This window comes from Homo sapiens, chromosome 17 (assembly GCF_000001405.40).
Source record: "Homo sapiens chromosome 17, GRCh38.p14 Primary Assembly".
Lineage (NCBI taxonomy): Eukaryota > Metazoa > Chordata > Mammalia > Primates > Hominidae > Homo > Homo sapiens.
In genome coordinates this window covers 289,008-306,708 of record NC_000017.11, presented here as the reverse complement: position 1 = coordinate 306,708, position 17,701 = coordinate 289,008, and the positions used below count along the sequence as shown (strand labels likewise).

Here is a 17,701-nt window from a genome sequence, read left to right as displayed (position 1 = left end):
GCAGAGCCATCCAAGGGACTAAGCAGGGAAACGACAGTCTCATGGGCCCGTGGGGAGGTTAAGTCCAGATGCAGAGGATTCGTGGATACTAATTATCCAATTCGCCATAATGAAGGCCTGAATTAAGGCAGGAGCAGCCAAGATGGAGACTCTGAAGACAGGAGTTAGCCACGATAAAGCTGCCAGCGGTGGAGAGCTCACTCTAGGGGTACCAAGCACCCAGCTGATTAGCAAAACCACCTGGGAGGTCACGGTCTCCTCGTTGCAGGTGAAGAAACGGAGGCGAGGTGGAGGTTAGTCCCTTGCCAGGTCACACGGCGGGCCAGTGCTGGGTCTGATGGCCTTACCGGCTGGGTCTGATGGCCTTACCGGCCAGGCTGCGCACGTGCGTGGGGCCTGCGTGGAGGGCTGGTCTGGGGTGGGAGCAGATGTGGGGAAGGGGCTCGTGGGGCATGTTGGCGGTGGAGCTGGGGTTCCAGGGGGGCTGGGTATGTGTTCCAGGTAGTCCAGGCTGGATCCCAGGCTGTGGGTCAGAAAGGGGCTGGGGAAGTCGGGCGCAGTGGCTCACACCTGTAATCCTAGCACTTTGGGAGGCCAAGGTGAGAAGATTGCTTGAGACCAGGAGTCTGAGACCAGCCTGGGTAATGTAGTGAGACCTCATCTCTACTGAAAAAAAAAAAAAAATAGCTGGGCATGGTGGTGCCCAGTTACGTTTCCAACTACTTGGGAGGCTGAGGCTGAGGATTGCTTGAGCCTGGAAGGCTTGAGCCCCAGAGGCGGAGGCTGCAGTGAGTCAAGATTGTGCCACTGAACTCCAGCCTGGGTGACCTGTTTCAAAAAAAAGAAAGGAGGGAGGGAGGGAGGGAAGGAAGAAAGGGGCTGGGGAGGGAGGCTGGCAGCTCAGAGGCGGATGTCATGGGGCGATGTGAGTGATGTGAGGGATGACTGAGTGATGTGAGTAACCTGGGAGAGAATGTGGGCCCAGGTTGAGGAGAGGAGCCCACCAGGTGTGGGCGTGGTGGGAGAGTGGCCGGGAAGCTGTCTTCTTCCCTCGAACCTGCCTGAATGTCTGTGTGGAGACATTCCTGTGACCTAGTATCTCCACTCGGGTGTCCTGCTCTTGAGATGTTGGGGCTGGGACCACCGCTGGGCACCTGCCGTGTGTGTGGTCAGGTCACCCGATGTGGGAGGAATCCAGTGGAGAAGGAACCGACCTGTAACCTTGTGAAGCTGCCTGGTGGGACGTCAGGGGCTAGGAGGTTGGTGTGAGCTGGGCCTCCAGGGTGGAGTAGCCCTTCCCTCCCCAGCCCCCGCAGCTGCCAGGCAGGCACCACCCCACCCTCCCGGATTGTCCCTGTGGGGCCTCCGCAGTGTGGCAGGTGCAGGCTGAGGGCTGTTACGCGCCATCTCGACGTTGCCTCAGCTTGGCTTTGACCCTGAGTCCCAACTCGGCCGGTGCCTGGACACGAGGTTGTACCTCTGGCTGTTTCCAGAACGGATGACTCCTGCCACCTCCTGGGCTGTGCGCCTGGTGGTGCAGACGCCCCGGAGCCCACCCTAAGCACCCTGATGACCCTGTCCCCCTCTCGCCCTGTCCCCTCTCGCCCTGTCCCCCTCCCGCCCTGTCCCCCTCCCGCCCTGTCCCCCTCTCGCCCTGTCCCCCTCTCGCCCTGTCCCCCTCCCGCCCTGTCCCCCTCTCGCCCTGTCCCCTCTCGCCCTGTCCCCCTCCCGCCCTGTCCCCCTCTCGCCCTGTCCCCCTCTCGCCCTGTCCCCCTCTCGCCCTGTGCCTCTCTTGCACTCTGGCCCTAGGAGCTCGTGGCGCTGGACCGGGGGCTGGCCCCTATTTCTGTACCACTTGGTACAGAAACAGGTTTTAAATCATTTAAAAATGGTTTAAAAATGGTTTTATGTTTGTAAATGGCTCCGTGGGGCAGGGCGGGAGGGAACAAAAGAAGAAGAGTGTCACGTGGCATGAAAATTCAGTGAATGTGAATCTCGGCGTCCCTCAAGGTTTGCAGGAGTCCAGCCAGGCTCATTGGTTCTCCTGTGGCCTCCGGCTGGTTCGGGCCTGCCCTGGCCGGGTGGAATCGTCGTGACAGCCTAAAATCCCAGGCACCAGCTGCTCAGAGTGAGAAGGGGCCTGACTTCCTTCCCCTCTGGTTATGTTGTTGGTGGGGGTGGCCTGGGGTACCAGCCTCAGTGCCTCAGTTGTTTGAGCCTCAGCAGATTACAGACTTTAATGAGTTAGCTTCTCTTGGTCTTACTAGTTTCCTCTCGACGGAATTTTAAAAAGTAACTTACAGGACTGTGCAGAGGTTTAGAACGCTGGATTCTGCCTCCCTGCGTCCTCCCGGCCTGGGCTCATTCCCTCACCTCTGTCTGCTTCAGGTCTCTCACCTGGAAGTCGGGAATAATAATACCTATCTCGGGGGCGGTTGCAAGGATTGCAATGAGGAAAGTATGTGATAAACTCTTAAAACGGTGCCTGAGACACGGTCACTGCTCAATAATTATTAAAACCTCAGTACAGCCTCCCTCCCTGCCCCACTCTTTCCTGAGACACGGTCACTGCTCAATAATTATTAAAACCTCAGTACAGCCTCCCTCCCTCCCCATCTCTTTCCTGAAACACGGTCACTGCTCAATAATTATTAAAACCTCAGTACAGCCTCCCTCCCTCCCCATCTCTTTCCTGAGACACGGTCACTGCTCAATAATTATTAAAACCTCAGTACAGCCTCCCTCCCTCCCCATCTCTTTCCTGAGACACGGTCACTGCTCAATAATTATTAAAACCTCAGTACAGCCTCCCTCCCTCCCCATCTCTTTCCTGAGACACGGTCACTGCTCAATAATTATTAAAACCTCAGTACAGCCTCCCTCCCTCCCCATCTCTTTCCTGAGACACGGTCACTGCTCAATAATTATTAAAACCTCAGTACAGCCTCCCTCCCTCCCCACCTCTTTCCTGAGACACGGTCACTGCTCAATAATTATTAAAACCTCAGTACAGCCTCCCTCCCTCCCCATCTCTTTCCTGAGACACGGTCACTGCTCAATAATTATTAAAACCTCAGTACAGCCTCCCTCCCTCCCCATCTCTTTCCTGAAACACGGTCACTGCTCAATAATTATTAAAACCTCAGTACAGCCTCCCTCCCTCCCCATCTCTTTCCTGAAACACGGTCACTGCTCAATAATTATTAAAACCTCAGTACAGCCTTCCTCCCTGCCCCCCAACCTCTTTCTTATAACTGCTGGGTGATCTAATTCATTGCAAAGTTGTTAAATCTTTTTTTTTTTCGTGATTGTTTTTTTGAGACAGGGTCTCGCTGTGCTGCCCCGGCTGGAGTGCAGCGGTGTGATCTTAGCTCACGGCAGCCTCACCCCTCTGGGCTCCAGTGATCCTCCCACCTCAGCCTCCCGGGCAGCTGGGACTACAGGTGTGCGCCACCACTCCTGGCTAATTTCTCATTTTTTGTGGAGACTGGGCCTTGTTATGTTGCCCAGGCTGCCTCAGACTCCTCAGGCGATCCTCCTGCTCAGCCTCTGAAACTGCTGGGATGCAGGCATGAGCCGCCAACCTTAACGATACAGTTACGTTGTTAGTTCTTAACTTTGTAAACCTCAGACTTTATCTCCACCTCGAACCTTATAGAGAACTGCCAAGTTTATTGTCTGACTTGGATGCCTCATAGACATGACATATCAAGGATATTCCAACCCTAAAAAATAAGTCAAACACCAGAGGTGTGTGTGAAATGCGAAGCTCCCGCCCCTGACCTTCGGGGTCTGGGTGTTTGTCCTTCTCCCACCTTCTCTGTCTCTTCGCACTCACACAAATGTTCGCAGGGTGGATGCCTATGTACACTCCTTTTTTCATCTTCTTTTTCCACTTAATAAGATATCAAAAACATCGTCCCATGACTATACATGTAAATCGAATTCCAGTTTTAGGAGCTGTGTTGTATTCGGGGCTTTTTCACCCTTCCCTGTAGCTCCCCTTTTCCAGGCGGCTCACACACCTGCTGGGCAGGCCTGGGGTGAGTGTGGGTGGCAGCCGGGAGGGCCGGGCCTGGATCCACCCTCCCTCGACGGCGGGCGCCTCCCATCCTGTTTCCCGTTGAGCTTAGCCTCGTCCTGGGGTCCGAATCTCTCCTGGGGACACGGCCCTCTCTGCAGTGTGGCTCCGATGGCTTCCTCTCTCCTCCCCGCACCGCACACAGACACACCTGCCCACGTCTGAAATCCAGCTGAAGGCGTGGCTCAAGTTCATTCCCTGCAACGGCTCCTTGGACCTTGTGTAAATCGAAGGACGGACGTAGTGGGTGGGGCGGGGTGACTCCGTGGACCTGCCTGGCCTGCTACACCTGCGAGAGTCGGGAGACAGCTGTGCTCAGAACCTCCTGCGTGACCTCAGATGAAAATCTGTTTCCCTCTCTGGCCTTCCAGTGACAGGCAAAGGCTGGACGAGAGACTCTCTCGGGCCTGCCTGCGGTTTCCTCCCAGGCAGCTCGGGCTCAGTCCAGGCCTTGCAGCCTCGCAGTCCGCAGATGCCGCAGTGGCAGCAGCTGGGCTGGGAGCCGAAGCTCTCGCCTCTGTGCCTCTGGGACACAGCTCGATTGTGGTTATTTTAAAGCTGTGGCAGGTTTGCCGCCCAGTTCGCTTTGGCTCAGGCCGTAGTGAGTCTGTGCCCTCTGAGCGGGAGGAAGTCAGGGTGGGGGTGCTTCTGAGAGCCGCTGTGCCTGACATTTCCATGATGTCATGTGTCCCTCATGGCCCCCAGGAGATGGGCAGGCAAAAGGCAAGGCAGTGTTCATACTCGTTTTCCAGATGGAGACACTGACGCTCAGAGGGATGACTCCCTCTCGATGACACAGCCAGTGCCTTGCAATGACTCCTACGGCTCGGGTCAGAACTTTGCCTACAGGCCAGGCGTGGTCACAGCTCGGCTCAGGACTTTGCCTACAGGCCGGGCGCGGTGGGTCACACCTGTAATTCCAGGACTTTGGGAGGCCGAGGTAGGAGGATCACTGGAAGCCAGGAGTTTGAGACCAGCCCAGGCAATAAAGCGAGACCCTGTTTTAATAAAAAATGAAAAAAATTAGGTGGGCCTGGTTGTGCCCCTGCAGTCCCAGCTACTTGGGAGGCCAAGGCAGGAGGATCCCTTGAGCCCAGGAGTTTGAGACCAGCCCGGGCAACAAGGCAAAACCCCCTCTCTACAAAAAAATACAAAAATTAGCCAGGCACGGTGGTGCGCACCCATAATCTCAACTACTGGGGAGGCTGAGGTGGGAGGATTGCTTAAGCCTGGGAGGTTAAAGCTACAGTGAGCCGTGCTCCCGCCACTGCACTCTAGCCTAGGTGACAGCGTGAGACCCTGTCTCAAGAAAAAAAAGCCCAGAGAACTTTGCCTATGTACCTTTTAAGATGTAAAGAGATCTAAAGATGAGCAGGAGACCCCAAAGGAAGGTGATGTCTCGTCCCACTTTCGAATAAGGTGGCCGATGAAATGAGGTGGCCGACGGCTACGTGCCCACGATGCTGGGGAAGGGATTGCAGCCCCTATGGCGGAGCATCCAGAGTGAGAGGTAGCACCCAGCCCTGGGCCCCCCTGAGGCAGCGCCCCTACAGAGTGGGCCTGAGGCCTTGCCCTGGTCTGTCCCACCTTTGCATTGGCTAGACAATAGTTGGATACGTGGAGGAGTCACGGCCCAGCCTCACTGTGAGGCCAGCCCCTGCTAGAGTGGGTGAGAGATTCTGCAGGCCTAGGCTGTGGCAGCCCCTGCTAGAGTGGGTGAGAGCTTCTGCAGGTCTAGGCTGGGCCAGCCCCTGCTAGAGCGGGTGAGAGATTCTGCAGGCCTAGGCTGGGCCAGCCCCTGCTAGAGCGGGTAAGAGATTCTGCGGGCCTAGGCTGGGCCAGCCCCTGCTAGAGCGGGTGAGAGATTCTGCAGGCCTATGGGCCAGCCCCTGCTAGAGTGGGTGAGAGATTCTGCAGGTCTAGGCTGGGCCAGCCCCTGCTAGAGCGGGTGAGAGATTCTGCAGGTCTAGGCTGGGCCAGCCCCTTCTAGAGTGGGTGAGAGATTCTGCAGGTCTAGGCTGGGCCAGCCCCTGCTAGAGCGGGTGAGAGATTCTGCAGGCCTATGGGCCAGCCCCTGCTAGACCGGGTGAGAGATTCTGCAGGTCTAGGCTGGGCCAGCCCCTGCTAGAGCGGGTAAGAGATTCTGCAGGCCTAGGCTGGGCCAGCCCCTTCTAGAGTGGGTGAGAGATTCTGCAGGTCTAGGCTGGGCCAGCCCCTTCTAGAGTGGGTGAGAGATTCTGCAGGTCTAGGCTGGGCCAGCCCCTGCTAGAGCGGGTGAGAGATTCTGCAGGCCTATGGGCCAGCCCCTGCTAGACCGGGTGAGAGATTCTGCAGGTCTAGGCTGGGCCAGCCCCTGCTAGAGCGGGTAAGAGATTCTGCAGGCCTAGGCTGGGCCAGCCCCTTCTAGAGTGGGTGAGAGATTCTGCAGGCCTAGGCTGGGCCAGCCCCTTCTAGAGTGGGTGAGAGATTCTGCAGGCCTAGGCTGGGCCAGCCCCTGCTAGAGCGGGTGAGAGATTCTGCGGGCCTAGGCTGGGCCAGCCCCTGCTAGAGTGGGTGAGAGATTCTGCAGGCCTAGGCTGGGCCAGCCCCTTCTAGAGTGGGTGGGAGATTCTGCAGGCCTAGGCTGGGCCAGCCCCTGCTAGAGCGGGTGAGAGATTCTGCGGGCCTAGGCTGGGGTACCTGGGACACTGGTCAGGGCTGTCCTGCAGGGACTCCTTCTCCCCCGGGACACCTGCCCCCTAGGCTCAGTGGCCGTCTTCCCTGGGTCTGGTCAGTGTAGCCTCTGGCAGCAGGAAGAAGCATCGTTGGCAAATCCACTCAGCGGCCGTTGCCAAGCGCGGTAATTTTGTGCAGCCTCTCGTCCTCTGTTGTGGTAAATAACAGATAATGACATTTGCAGTCCGGCGCGGCCCCGTGCCGCACACCTCGTCGGCCGTGCCCTGCAAGCTGGCACACTTCGGGAGGCCTGCGATTCTTCACCGGCCTCCAGTCGCCCCTGTGCTTCCCGCTGGGACATTTCCCTGCAGCTGTTTGCTGTTCACGGACCTTAACTGGGGATGGACTTGGCCCGTCTTGTTCCCTGTGGGAGGACACGGGGGGCAGCTCTTCTGCTGATGGGGAAGCTGAGTGGAAAAGAGGGAGCGGGTTCATTTCCCCCAGGGTCCTTTTAGCCTGGGCCTCAACACTGAGAATCAGGCCCTCACCAGAGGCCCCTTTAGCCCTCTCCTTCCAGACTCTCCTCTTACCTTTGTCCTGCCTTCCGTGGGAGGGAGGGAGGGAGGGGTCTGCCCCAGGTTACAGATGGATAAACTGAGGCAGAGAAGGGTGAGACCCTTCTGCCCAGGAACCACATACAGGCTCAGACAGCAGCGGCATTCGGGCCCTGCAGGGAGTGAGGCCTGAGTACCTGGGTTGCCAACCCAGGGGAGGGGCTGCTGGGCCATTGCAGGGCCCCCACTGGGTTCCAGACTGTGGACGAGTCTCATTCGCTTTCCAGTGCATCCTCTACTCCTCTGCTTGTTCAAGTGCAGCTCCGATTAGGTCACTGTCCCCCTCCCTCCCCCCGAAGCCTTCAGTGGCTCCCTACTGCCAGCAGCATAAAGTCGAAAACACCCCCACGTGGTATCCGAGGCCCTCAGTTCATTCCCCGGCTGCAGCCTGCTGACTTGAGCAGCGTGAGTGAAATCCCCAGCTGGGATTTCTAAGGCCCAGGGCCAGGCCTGGCTCCCCCGGCCCCGACCTGCCGTCCCCCTCCTTGGAGCTCCGTTCTGTGCATAACCAGGGTCCCTAAGGGATCGCTAGTGTGCTGTTGCTGTTAGAATATTAAGAAATCCTACAATGTTTGTCTAGTCTGCTGTATTTTTCAGATAAAAGATAAGTTCCAATAACATGTATTTGCTGGCTGGGAGTTTTTTTTTTTTTTTGAGATAACATCTCCCTTTGTCACCCAGGCTGGAGCGCAGTGGCCTGATCTCGGCTCACTGCAACCTCCGCCTCCCGGGTTCAAGTGATTCTCCTGCCTCAGCCTCCCGAGTAGCTAGGGCTACAGGAGTGTGCCTCCATGCCTGGCTAATTTTTTTTTTTTTGTATTTTTAGTAGAGATGGGGTTTCGCTGTATTGACCAGGCTGGTCTCAAACTCCTGACCTCAAGTGATCTGCCCACTTCAGCCTCCCAAAATGCCAGGATTACAGGGGTGAGCCACCGTGCCCAGCCTGGCTTGGAGACTGTTGACTGTATCCCAGGCATGGGAACGAACACAGGGAAGGGAGAGGGTATTTTTACGGACTGACCTTTTAAGAGTTATGATAATCCTGGAACATCAGAGAGGCCGGTGCTCTACCCCTGAGATTGGGGTCGGGGGAGGGCTACTGAGGGGCCCCAGCACCCCACACTGAGCTGGTGGGGGCAGAGCTGGAGGACGTGGACGGTCTCCTGACTTTGGCTGGGTGGTCTGTGCTGACTCAGTTTCTGGTGGACCCTGGCACTGGGTCATGGAGGAGGAAATGTCAGGGTTCCTGAAGGATGTGTAGAAGTTTGCCAGGTGTGAGCCACAGGGCACGGAGGCAGAGAGGTGGCTAGAGGGTTGGGAGAGGACAGCAAAGTGTGGGGCTGGCGTGGTGGGCTTGGCAAGGCCGGTGGGGACAGGACTAGAGAGAGGTGGGGGCCAGGGAGGGAAGTTTGCATGTTCGTCCGTGTGTCATTTTCTTGCCTCTCTCCCCATCAGCTCGTGAAGCCTCCCTGTCCGCTGGCTAGTCCAGGGCCCGGGAGTAACGGGGACTTACAAGTGTTTGCGGAATGCCCTTGGCAACATCAGCCCTGACCTGTGACCAACCTTGCTCTTCACCAGATTCTAGGGAAGGGGATGGTGGAGAGAGGACCGAGGCTGCTGCCTCACCCTCCTGGGAGGTTTTAAGCCTTCCGGAAGCACAGGACTTCAGTGTCTTGGGCATCAGGCTCTGAAAATAGAGGAAAACACCAAGCAAAGTGGTTTTTCCTATTCTCTTACAGTTACTCAACACAGCACACTCCTGGGACCTCTGGTCACCAAGATGTGTGTGGATTTCTCCCACCCACGCCCGATCCGCAGCACATTCTCCAGTGGGCTGTGCTCAGTTCAGACGCTGTCTACCCGGAGGTAGCATCAGATCCCACAGGACGAGGGCTCGGTCCCAGGACTGTCCCCCGCCTCAGATGCCAGTCACACGTCCAGACCTCTGGAACTTCTGAGCAGCTGGCTGTGAATCGGGGTTCCCACAACCCATACTTTGGGTTCGATAATTTGCTAGAGTGGCTCACAGAACTCGCAGAGAAACACTTTGCTTATGTTGACTGGTTTATGACGAAGGATATTACAAAGTGCACAGATGAACAAGGCAGCCGCCAGATGGGAGAGGTGCCCTGGGTGGGGCATGTGGGGATAGGCGAGGGGCTGTTGGATCCCCTCTGGGGCCTCCCCTCAAGAACCTCCACGTGTTCAGCTATATCTGGAATCGCCCCAAGCCCCGACGTCTTGGGTTTTTGTGGAGTCTTCATCATGTTGGCTTGGAGAGGGTTGTGTTCCAGAGCTCCTGATGGAACTCTCCGCAGAGGGGTGGCTATGGATGCATGTTGATTTCCAGTCCTCACTCACCCCCTGGGGAAAATCGGTGTTACGGTTTGTCCTCACACAATGCCCCACGAGACCCAGCCTTGTCCCCTTGGATGCTTGAAGGGGATGATTCTGGAGACCCCCAAGAGGCCTCCTGAGCGGAGCTGGTGGGTTCCTTTTCCTTCTCCGGCAGGACGTTAGAGCAGCATTGATCCACGTTTCAAAACCCAGGCTCCCTTTTGATACACGTAGAACCCTTCCACACCCTTTTTTTCATATGTGACTTGAAGTTTCAAAACAATATTGTGTGTTTGAAAAAAGCGGGCGTGACGTTGAACAGCCCGTCTTTGGGCCCTGCGGGTTCTGACTGCCCCCACAGCCCCTCAGAGGTGAAGGTGCAACCGGTGGTGGCCATGGCGAGCCATCGGCGGAAACGAGCTCGTGAGGGACTCGCCTGGCCTCTGGGCTTGACATCCTGAATCTCATTACCAAGGTGGAGCTGGTCCAGGAGCTGCTCCTGGCTGTGTCCTCCAGCCCCGTGAGGACAGTTCCTCTGTCCCTCCCACACCGATGTGCATTCCCTCTGCCCGTTCATGTCTGCAGCTCCTCTGTCCCTCCCACACTGATGTGCATTCCCTCTGTCCATCCATTTCTGCAGCTCCTCTGTCCCTCCCACACTGATGTGCATTCCCTCTGTCCATCCATTTCTGCAGCTCCTCTGTCCCTCCCACACTGATGTGCATTCCCTCTGTCCATCCATTTCTGCAGCTCCTCTGTCCCTCCCACACTGATGTGCATTCCCTCTGTCCATCCATTTCTGCAGCTCCTCTGTCCCTCCCACACCGATGTGCATTCCCTCTGCCCGTTCATGTCTGCAGCTCCTCTGTCCCTCCCACACTGATGTGCATTCCCTCTGTCCATCCATTTCTGCAGCTCCTCTGTCCCTCCCACACTGATGTGTATTCCCTCTGCCCGTCCATTTCTGCAGCTCCTCTGTCCCTCCCACACTGAAGTGCATTCCCTCTGCCCGTCCATTTCTGCAGCTCCTCTGTCCCTCCCACACTGATGTGCATTCCCTCTGCTTTCCATTTCTGCAGCATCTGTGTCCCTCCCACACTGATGTGCATTCCCTCTGTCCATCCATTTCTGCAGCATCTCTGTCCCTCCCACACTGATGTGCATTCCCTCTGCTGTCCATTTCTGCAGCTCCTCTGTCCCTCCCACACTGATGTGCATTCCCTCTGCCCGTCCATTTCTGCAGCTCCTCTGTCCCTCCCACACTGATGTGCATTCCCTCTGCTTTCCATTTCTGCAGCATCTGTGTCCCTCCCACACTGATGTGCATTCCCTCTGTCCATCCATTTCTGCAGCATCTGTGTCCCTCCCACACTGATGTGCATTCCCTCTGCTGTCCATTTCTGCAGCTCCTCTGTCCCTCCCACACTGATGTGCATTCCCTCTGCCCATCCATTTCTGCAGCTCCTCTGTCCCTCCCACACTGATGTGCATTCCCTCTGCTTTCCATTTCTGCAGCATCTGTGTCCCTCCCACACTGATGTGCATTCCCTCTGTCCATCCATTTCTGCAGCTCCTCTGTCCCTCCCACACTGATGTGCATTCCCTCTGTCCATCCATTTCTGCAGCTCCTCTGTCCCTCCCACACTGATGTGCATTCCCTCTGCCCGTCCATTTCTGCAGCTCCTCTGTCCCTCCCACACTGATGTGCATTCCCTCTGCCCGTCCATTTCTGCAGCATCTCTGTCCCTCCCACACTGATGTGCATTCCCTCTGCTGTCCATTTCTGCAGCATCTGTGTCCCTCCCACACTGATGTGCATTCCCTCTGTCCATCCATTTCTGCAGCTCCTCTGTCCCTCCCACACTGATGTGCATTCCCTCTGTCCCTCCCACACTGATGTGCATTCCCTCTGCCCGTCCATTTCTGCAGCTCCTCTGTCCTTCCCACACTGATGTGCATTCCCTCTGCCCGTCCATTTCTGCAGCATCTCTGTCCCTCCCACACTGATGTGCATTCCCTCTGCTTTCCATTTCTACAGCATCTGTGTCCCTCCCACACTGATGTGCATTCCCTCTGTCCATCCATTTCTGCAGCATCTCTGTCCCTCCCACACTGATGTGCATTCCCTCTGCTGTCCATTTCTGCAGCATCTCTGTCCCTCCCACACTGATGTGCATTCCCTCTGTCCATCCATTTCTGCAGCTCCTCTGTCCCTCCCACACTGATGTGCATTCCCTCTGTCCCTCCCACACTGATGTGCATTCCCTCTGCCCGTCCATTTCTGCAGCTCTTCTGTCCTTCCCACACTGATGTGCATTCCCTCTGCCCGTCCATTTCTGCAGCATCTCTGTCCCTCCCACACTGTGTGCATTCCCTCTGCTGTCCATTTCTGCAGCATCTGTGTCCCTCCCACACTGATGTGCATTCCCTCTGTCCATCCATTTCTGCAGCTCCTCTGTCCCTCCCACACTGATGTGCATTCCCTCTGCCGTCCATTTCTGCACAGGTGTTCTTCAGTCCTGGTCAGACTTAATGCTGTGTCCACTCAGGTTGGCCTTTTTAAAATTCGAGTCTGGGTCTCACTCTGTCACCCAGGCTGCAGTGCTGTGGTGCAATCACAACTCACTGCAGCCTCGACCTTCTGAGCTCAAACGATTCTTCCAAGTAGCTGTGACTGCAGGTGTGCACCAGCATGCTCGGCTAATTTTTGTATTTTTTTTTTTGTAGAGACGGGGTCTTGCTATGTTGCCCAGGCTGGTCTTGATCACCTGGGCTCAAGTGGTCCATCCCATGCTGGCGTTTGTACGTCTCTTCATCCCATCAGCACTCCTCACACCTCACACCTCACACTGGGCTCGTACCTGGCACCACTGTGTCCTCCACAGATGCTGAATGAACTCAGGAACCCCTGGAGACCAAGCCCCACGTCCTGTGCTTTCCCCTTTGATTGAACATTATTAGATTTGCTGGGTTTTATTTTTATTTTATTTTTTTGAGACCGAGTCTTGCTCTGTCACCCAGGCTGTAATGCAGTGGTGCAATCTCAGCTCACTGCAACTTCCGACTTCTGGTTTCAAGCAGTTCTCCTACCTCAGCCACCAAGTAGCTGGGATTCCGGGTGAGTACCACCGCGCCCGGCTAATTTTTGTATTTTTAGTAGAGACGGGGTTTCGCCTTGTTGGCCAGGTTGGTGTTGAACTCCTGACCTCAGGCGATCCGCCCACCTCAGCCTCCCAAATTGCTGGGATTACAGGCGTGAGCCACCGCGCCCGACCAGATTTGCTGGTTTTTAAAAACCCTCCTCCCACCTTCTGATTTAGCCATCCCATCCACCCCTTGGCCGAAGCTCCTGTTGAGTGCACCGTGCTCCCATCACCGGTGCTGCACGGCCCTCAGCCCAGTTCTCGATGGCTCAAACCTCCTGTTTCCCGTGTCCTGCCGGAAAAGATGCAGAAACCTCTCTGGGACTGAGGGGATGCAGAGGTTAACCAGGACCGGGAAGGGGTTAACTGAGGCCCCTGGACCCCGCTGCCCCACCCCCGGAGCCCCGGCCCCCAGCCATCCTGGCGGCTTCATCTCGTCTGAATACCCCGATTTCCCTGAGACTGACACTCGCAGAGGCACGAGTGCAGAAATGATCCGAAGCCCCGTCCAAGTCATGATTTCTTATTATGTGCTCTGTGAATGTTAATAGTCAACAGCTGATGCTGTTGCCTTTTTTAACCCTCCTCTCCACTCGGGACGCAGTGGTAACTGCATGAGTGGCAGGCGGAGGGAGGAGGTGTTTGGTGTTTTGGAAGCCGAGCTTGAAAGCCACAGGAAATGATGGTGCTTGCTTTCAACTGGGAGAGGTGGCTGGGGGCTGGCACAGGCCTGAGGCTCGCAGGTGGTCCCCAGGCCATGTCAGAGGCTCTTCCGATGGAGGGGAAGGGCCTGCCGGAAGCCTTGGTAAAGAGAGGCGGCTCGGCCCTGAGTGGCTGGTTCCCCTGGGAGCCGCCAGCAGCCAGGATGGAGGACGTGGGGTGGGAAGTCCAGGGAGACTTGCCTTCCTCCTGAAATGTTTCTCCACTTGCCTCTGGCTTCTGTCTCAGACCCGGCAGCAGGTGGCTGGCATTAAGGCTGTGCCTCCTTGGGGCCTTCTGTGACTTGGTATTTGTGGGTAGTCGGGGTAAGGTCCAGGGCTCGGCGTGCTCCCAGCGCTGCTGGCCCCCGGGCTGTGTCCTAACGAATGGGAAGAGGGGCCTGGCTGTGCCCCTCCCACTTGAAGCTTGACCTCATCTGTCGTTCTGGAAGAGGAGAGGGCCCAGGGATCCAGCCTTGCCTTACCTCGGGGTGGGGAGGGTGAAGTTGGGTCCAGGCGGGAGGATGAGGGCCTGCAAGAGTGTGCTAGCCAGGCAGCCAGGCCCGGCTGGGGCAGCAGGAGCCCGGGACCGAGGCTCAGACTGAACAGGGTTCGCATCCCAGGTCCCCACGTCGAGCTGCTTAACCTCAAGTCTCAGATCCCTTGTGTAAAACAGGAACAGTCATACCCACCCCATAGGGCTGTTTTGAAAATTAAATGAGATTCTGCATAAAACAGCTAGCTTGGTGCCTAGTGTAAGCATAAGTACCCGAGAAAGTATATAAATATTTGTAATTATATACATCAATATCTGAACTGTCTATACGTTTAAAGTCATTTGGCAGCAGGGCCTGGGTTCCAGACAGCGTCTATAGCAACAGAGCTGTATCCAGCCTTTCCGCTGCTGGCCCACTGGGGCAGGTGATGCTTCTCCAAGCCTGGCGGATGGCACTTCAGGGGCTGAGCAGGGCTGAGCTTATGATCGGAGGGGCCGGTGACCCGGGGACACCATCTGGGACCCGCTGTGGGGGTGCACAGGCCTGATTACAATTGAGCCACAGTCAGCCACTGTGGCTGTCTCCTGCCTGTCTGCGTGGACACTTTCAGCTGCTTTAATCCATCCTGACCTGCAAAAATCCAGACCTGGTCAAAAAATGAAGTTGGGGCAAGTGACTTTCCAAAGCATTTAGCATAAGCTTCCTTTAAATAGGAATTCTGCTTATCCATTTAAAATAGATTTTGACTTTGCACAGTTTGATTTCCATTTGGGCTGATATCTTTCTAGATTGTCCTCTGTGTATATATAGACTCCTCCATAGATGTAGGCACATCTACATATTTACGTGGTGGAGCGCCCTGCTATGCAGACTGTTTCCAACGTGCTTTTTTTAACTTAACAGCTTATGGTGAATATTGCCCCACACAGCTTCGTTGTCATTTCGTCACTTTTCTATTTACATCATCATCGTCTTTGTTGCTGCAAAGCTCTCCCCTAAACCTAGTAAGATTTTCCCTTTTGAAGATTTGGTTTCTGGCATCAGGAGCACATTGTGTGGCATGAAACACACACGTGGAGGCTCTCATTATGCTGCTTTGTGCATGCACCGAGGCCATTCAGACGTAGCTATTTCTTATCCTATTTTATCGGGGCAGGGGGATGACCCCTCTGTAAGCACCGTCTGCAGCGCGGTTCCCAATGAGAAACCAGCTCACCTGCCGATTTCAACTCACTGGAACTCTCAGGAAAGTAATTTTCCAGATAAAAGATTGCTATTTTATTTTATTATTTTTTAAAATGAGATGGGGGGTGGGGGAGTCTCATTGTGTTGCCCAGGCTGGTCTTGAACTTCTGGCCTCAAGAAATCCCCCCACCTCGGCCTCCCAAAGCACTGGGATTGCAGGCAGGATCCACCGCACCTGGCCCTGAGTTTTGCTAATGGATAAACTACTCCGTTCAATGGGACACTCTTTGAGGACAAAGGGCCGTGTCTTGTTTGTTTTCGGCATTCTTAGAATAATGCCTTCCCTACAGTATAGAAAACATGTTTGTGAATTGAAGCTCCACACGTTTAAACCAGCCATCTTCAGTGTTCATCTCCACAGCACAGCGTACGTTTTCCAGGCCTCCTTGTACGCAACGTTTGAGGGCAGTTTCACCCGTTTCGGTCGAGTGAGGCTCATGAACAGCCCTCTCTGTGCCATGGATGGTCCAGGCCTCCTTGTACAGGACGTTTGAGCGCAGTTTCACCCTTTTCGGTCGAGTGAGGCTCATGAACAGCCCTCTCTGTGCCATGGATGGTGACGCTGTGAAGCTGTCCCGGCCCGTCCAGGAGTGTGAGGCTGCCAGTGACTGACTCCAGACCGCGGGTGCTGTGAGATGGCGGCGTCTGCTTTCAGAGCAGTTTCCTTCCCTCCCCCTACATTGGCACTAAGCCCCTTCCCGTCTTCTGATCTGCGGGAGCGTGGTGGAATTCCTCATCATGAAATGGATCGGTGAGGACTCAAAGGCCAGCCTGGGCATGAAGTACCTGAACTTTGGAGTGGCCCAGCAGAACCTTCTGTCGCATTGTGACTCTTGGGTGCCATCTGGGAAGGAGAAGGGGTGGGACGGGGAGTCGCAGGAAGCAGAAATGTCACTGAAGTGGCCCTGGATAAGAAGGACATTGAGGAAGGTGCCTGATCAGGCCTTGGGACGGGTCTGCACACATAGGCGGCCGCGGCACGCACCCCGGGGGAGGCAGGCAGGAGCCGTCATGGGAATGGTCTGGTAAACATCCCCGCTTCCCACCCTCAGTGAAGGATTCCCGGAGTCATTTCCCCTGTGGCCGGGCCAGCCTGGGTTTATGCTCCATACCCTGAGACTGAGGCCCACCTGGCCACCACCCCACCTCCTCGGACACTTGCCCGCTGTGTGGCTCTCCCTGGTTTGGCCTCCCACAATCCTGCTGGTCAGCATCACTCAATGTGGACGTGATTGGACCCTGCCTCGTGTCGCTGAGCGAGTGCCTTCACGCCTCCGTGCAGCTTGTCTTCCCGGCAGGTCGGCATGTTCCGGGAGGGAGCCTGTCTTGCTTTTTCAACTGTAATATCTTAAGTAGCTTCCATTTGTTCAATCCGTTCTTCTGCAAATAGTCACTGTGCCGGGCACAGGGAGCAGGAGGGTGAACAGAAATAGACGTGGCCTCTGCCCTTGGGAAGATGACGGCCCAGCAGGGGAAGTCACAGGAGCCCTGCAGCCACACAGCGGAGGGTAAAATCACAACCTTGACAGCGGAGAAGAGGCAGGAGCCCATTCTGGAGGCTCTCATTGTGGAAGGAGTGTTGCGGAAGTCTTCCTTGAAGATGTGGTGCTTTTGCTGAGGTCCGAGGGGTGTGTAGGTTAATGAAGAGACAGCGTGGCCACACAGAGGGGGCAACACGTGCAAAGGTCCTGTGGCAGAAGGACCAGGGGCTGACAAACGGCCCACACGGCTGGAGCTCAGAGGGTCGGGGCTGAGGAAGTAGAGCAGGAGGCAGGGCCGGCCCGAATGCCGTATGAAGTGAGGCGGTGGTCACCCCAGAGCAGCGGGAAGCCTCTGATGGCTTTTAAGTTGGGAGGGATGGGAGAGGTGACATGATTAGATTTGCCTCTTGAGAAAATCGGCCTGGCTGCCATGTCGGGAACCAGCTGGAGGACAGCGCGGTGGGGTAGAGAGATCTGCTGGGCGGCCTTGGTGTGGGCGTGGGCGGTGGCAGCAGAGATCAGGGACGGGGCTGAAGGGGAATTGAGAGGTTGGAGAGAGATTTGAGTTCTTGGAGATGGATTATCTGGGCAGGAAGGAGGGACGATGGGGGCCCAGGATGAGTGCTGGGTTGTGGCTTGTGTGACTGATGGATGCTGGCTGCCTTCACTGAGACAGGCATGGCTATAAAGGTCTGAGGTTGCCGCCTACCTAACCTTTTATGGTGCTGAGCACTTTCATGACCGTCTCCCTTGATCCCCTCATCTGCAACCTGGGGTGTGGGGGGGCCTGTTACCACCAACTTACAGATGAGGAAGTGAGGCTCAGAAGGCGAGTACCGAGTCCAAGTTCACCTCTAAACGGCACACCCTGCTCTCTCCTGCCCCAAAGCCTGTGTCCCGTGGGCAGGTCCCTGGGGAACCCCCTCCCCTGTGTTCTTGGGGGTAGAGAG

General features: G+C 56.0%; 1 protein-coding gene across 4 annotated transcripts in view, besides 3 other annotated features; it reads left to right on the top strand.

The window, feature by feature from the left end:
* RPH3AL (rabphilin 3A like (without C2 domains)) overlaps window positions 1-17,701 on the top strand; it is a 140,419-nt gene that overhangs the window by 46,099 nt on the left and 76,619 nt on the right. The gene's annotated exons all lie outside the window — the stretch shown is intronic.
* Window positions 3,545-4,314: an enhancer, noted in NCBI's record as "H3K27ac-H3K4me1 hESC enhancer chr17:152186-152955 (GRCh37/hg19 assembly coordinates)". NCBI's record gives its function as "activates a minimal SCP1, AML or CMV promoter by ChIP-STARR-seq in naive H9 embryonic stem cells {active_cell/tissue: H9 hESC(naive)}" and the evidence as "EXISTENCE:reporter gene assay evidence [ECO:0000049][PMID:30033119]".
* Window positions 4,315-5,085: an enhancer, noted in NCBI's record as "H3K27ac-H3K4me1 hESC enhancer chr17:151415-152185 (GRCh37/hg19 assembly coordinates)". NCBI's record gives its function as "activates a minimal SCP1, AML or CMV promoter by ChIP-STARR-seq in naive H9 embryonic stem cells {active_cell/tissue: H9 hESC(naive)}" and the evidence as "EXISTENCE:reporter gene assay evidence [ECO:0000049][PMID:30033119]".
* Window positions 5,327-5,827: an enhancer, noted in NCBI's record as "H3K4me1 hESC enhancer chr17:150673-151173 (GRCh37/hg19 assembly coordinates)". NCBI's record gives its function as "activates a minimal SCP1, AML or CMV promoter by ChIP-STARR-seq in naive H9 embryonic stem cells {active_cell/tissue: H9 hESC(naive)}" and the evidence as "EXISTENCE:reporter gene assay evidence [ECO:0000049][PMID:30033119]".